We start from the raw sequence: 3,803 nt of genomic DNA on the forward strand, positions 1-3,803 counted from the left end.
CACAGTCCCTCCTGTGCTGCTGGGATCCTCTTGCTTTGATAATCTCACTCCATCTGATCCCACAGTAGAAAAAGAAGTTCAGGGGGCAAAATAGAGTGCGTCTAACAGTCAATGTTCTTACGGCCACAACTGGTACTCAACATTACTGCTCATTTTAGATTTATTTGCCACTTCTTAGGCAGCACCTCCTCTGCCCAGGTGGCTTATCTGGTGGAGTGTCCCAGAGTGTCATCTATGAAGGGCCTGTGTCCTTGATCCCCAGGCCCCTCTCAGGCTATAGCTATTGCTATATCTATCTATCTATCTATATATATATATATTCCATTTAATTACAAAGTAGGGCAGAGAAGCAGCAATAAATGACCATAGATAGTATCTACTAAAGGAAACTGTGATAACAAAAATAGTTCTGTTTCCTCATGAACAACAGTGCTATCTCCTTCTGATGATCAAGGTTTGTTATCACTGGAGGTAACTCCCTTTCTTGCCTGCTGGTCTTTTGGCACCAGGAGCCCTCTGTGATTAGGAGACAGCTATGGCTGGAAGTTTAATGAGACTCTTTCTGTGTGCCCTGCAGAAGCTTTCCCCTGAAAACACATAGAGCCCAGAGCAGCGAGTACAGAGAGGACACATTTCCCAAATGGTCACTGGAAGTAATGATAAGTGAGGCTACACTCACTTTCACCACTTCTTTCAAGGCTTATGTTTCCTACCTATGGGGGACATGCACCCTACAATGGCCAGGGTCCTGTAGAAAGGCAGCCAGTTGTCACAGTTTCTTCTCCAAGGTGATAGCTCAGTTGTGCCTTCAAAAAGCCATTCTTTTGCTCTGCCAGGCCTATGGCTTCTAGATGGTGCTGTATGTGATGAAAATTTTAGATCCTGTGGGCATATGCATACCTCTTTGCTGTGTAGTAGATTCCTTGGTTACATGTGTTGTTAGGCAAGATTTCATGTTAGTGAAGTTAACACTGTAAATCCTCAGAGAGTGGTACTGAATGACGGGAAATGCAAATGGATACCTAGAATATGTGTTGAATCCAGATAAGTGGCTAATCTTTTCAGAGTAAAAGGTTCTCAATGTAATCAACTTGTCACCAAGTGGCTGGTTGCTCTCCTTGAAAAATGTAGCCATATCAGGAACTCTGCATAGATCTCTGTTGTTAGCAGGTTGAGCATTCAGTGGCAGCAGTAGCTAAGCCAAAAGAGTCTATGCTATTTTGCTATATACGGCTTCCATCCCTTACCACGGTTACTGCAATCTTTCATCCATGTGCCAACCCTAGAGCAGCAATGACACAGGTTGGCAAAAATCAACTGGCTAAAACAATGTTTCTAGATGATTGTTTGATAACCCTTCTAAAGCTCTTTCCTGGGTATATGAATGCAAAATAAAACTCTTTACAATTGGTGCTCATTTGCAAAGGTCCATCCACATGACTGTTTCCCAGACCCCAGACCTCCTTGTCCCTGATCTTTCAATCTCTTTCTTTATAGGACCTTAGAAGATGTTACAGGCTGAATTGCATTCCCCAAATTTATATGTTGAAGTCCCAGCCCTTAGTACCTACGAATGGGACTATATTTGAAGATAGGGTCTTTAAGAGTTGATTGAGGTAAAACAAAGCTATTAGGGTGGGCCCTACTTCAATCTGACTAGAGTCCTTATAAGAAGAAATTGGGACACACAGAAATACCAGGGATGTGCATGCACAAAAGCACAACCATGTGATGAGCAGCAAGAGGGAGATTATCCACCAGCCCAGGAAAGAGGTCTCAGGAGAAATCATCTCTGCTGGCACCTTGATCTTAGACCCTTCCAGAACTGTGAGAAAATTCTTTTGTTTAAGCCACCTAGTTTGTGGTATTTTGTTATGGCAACCCAAGCAGACTAAGAAAGAAGCTCTTTAGAGAGGAAATCTGGATAGGGCCCCTTGACATCCACCACAGTCCCTCCTGTGCTGCTGGGATCCTCTTGCTTTGATAATCTCACTCCATCTGATCCCATAGTAGAAAAAGAAGTTCAGGGGGCAAAATAGAGTGCGTCTAACAGTCAATGTTCTTACGGCCACAACTGGTATTCCCAGGCCATTCAGAATACTGCCCATATATGCCCCAATCCATTCACAGGTTACTTGTCTTTCCAAACTAAGTGATCAGATGCCTCACCCAGAGCTAGGTCAAAGGGAAGACTTCCTCTCACTATTGCTAGTCAGGGCCACTCCTGAACAGTTCTTTCTCACTTTGCACCCAATGTGCTGAACCAACACATTTATTAACCAAGCTTAGCATTTTTTCTTCTTCTATTGGTTTGTCATAAGGGATCCTCCATTCAGTCACAGCTATGAACTGAAGTAGATGATTTGGAGGCAGATGTCCTGGGAGTCTGGGTACCTGCTAACAGCTTACTGGCTTACTTGCCTCCTCTGGCCATGCGTATGCCAATCCCAGATAAATCACTAAGTATATCATTAGATTGAACATACTTGCCATTTGCCATTATCCCCACATTGTTTCTTTTAATCTGGGGATTAAAGCCTATTGTCATGCAGAGATCTGCTCCAGCTCCCCTTCCTGCTCTGTATTCCACATAAAGCTTGCAGTCTTTCATGCAGCTTAGTGGGTGGGTGGAGGATTCTTAAGCATAGAATATGTTGCCTTCAAAACTCAAAGCGGCCTACCAGATATTGTGTTTTCTTCTTCATAGTGGGAGGCATGGGATGAAATACTTTGTCCTTAATTTGGAGTGGATTTCCTGGCATGACCCAGACTGCTTGACCTTCAAAATCTTAACTGATTATTGAGACTCTGAGTCTTTGGAGAGTCTATTTTCTATTCTCTGCGTCGTACATGTCATATGAAAGTCTTTACTTGTTGCTTCTTGCCCATCCAGTACAATTAACATGATCTCGAACCTCAGTCCAACAGTCCTTGAAATGTCTGAGTATTGCTATCCCCCAGTGAATGGTTATCCAAATAAATAGCCATAGGTCCCAGTGATTGCTTATCCAAATAAAGAGCCATTCTCTTGAGGAAAGACTAGGGATGTCATGATGATTCAGGGTCCTTCTACTGAAGGACTCTGCTGCTCTTTCAGTCAATGTGTTCTGGGTCTGAACACTGGTTCGGGTTCAGAGACTGAAGTAGGAATTATGACTTTTTATTGGGCTGGCTGCTCTCAATTTCTTCTTTAATACACTTGATTTCTTTTAAGTTTTCCATTAGTACCTTTGTTGATTGTCCATGTGTCCATGCATCTTGCCCCTAGGAATGCTTTGTACCAAATATATCCATAGCTGTCTTTAGTTCAGCCCCCCTTGAATGCTACTCTAATATCTTTATTATAATTGCACTCATTTTGTCTGATGCCTAAGCACTGGCACTTAGCCTCTGTTAGTTAATATACTATAATCCAATAGTTCCCAAACTCTGCCAATATTAGAATCACTTGGTAAATTAAAAAAAAATCCTGATGCCCACTTTGCAACCTGTCCCAATTAAACCACAATATTTGGATGGAAACCAGGCATCAATCATTTTTAATGATGCCCAGGTGCAGCAAAGTTTGTAAACTCCTGCTATAATCCATACTGCTATTTGAAGCCCAGTTTTGTAACAGAATATCCTACTACCAGACACCAGTAAACCTCTCCATGATGCTGGTATTCTGCTTACAAAAACATTGCTCATCCCTTTGGTAAGTAGTACGTCCTCCAGGTCCTCTGATGGAATGTATCCAGCTGATTGGTTTTTCATGTCTTTCATAGACTATCTGCTTACCATGCCCATTTCTCCGAGTAATT

The 3,803-nt window shown here is 42.4% G+C and overlaps 1 annotated feature.

The window, feature by feature from the left end:
• Positions 2,240-2,831: an enhancer, noted in NCBI's record as "OCT4-NANOG hESC enhancer chr2:150755802-150756393 (GRCh37/hg19 assembly coordinates)". NCBI's record gives its function as "activates a minimal SCP1, AML or CMV promoter by ChIP-STARR-seq in naive H9 embryonic stem cells {active_cell/tissue: H9 hESC(naive)}" and the evidence as "EXISTENCE:reporter gene assay evidence [ECO:0000049][PMID:30033119]".

This window comes from Homo sapiens, chromosome 2 (genome assembly GCF_000001405.40).
Source record: "Homo sapiens chromosome 2, GRCh38.p14 Primary Assembly".
Classification (NCBI taxonomy): Eukaryota; Metazoa; Chordata; class Mammalia; order Primates; family Hominidae; genus Homo; species Homo sapiens.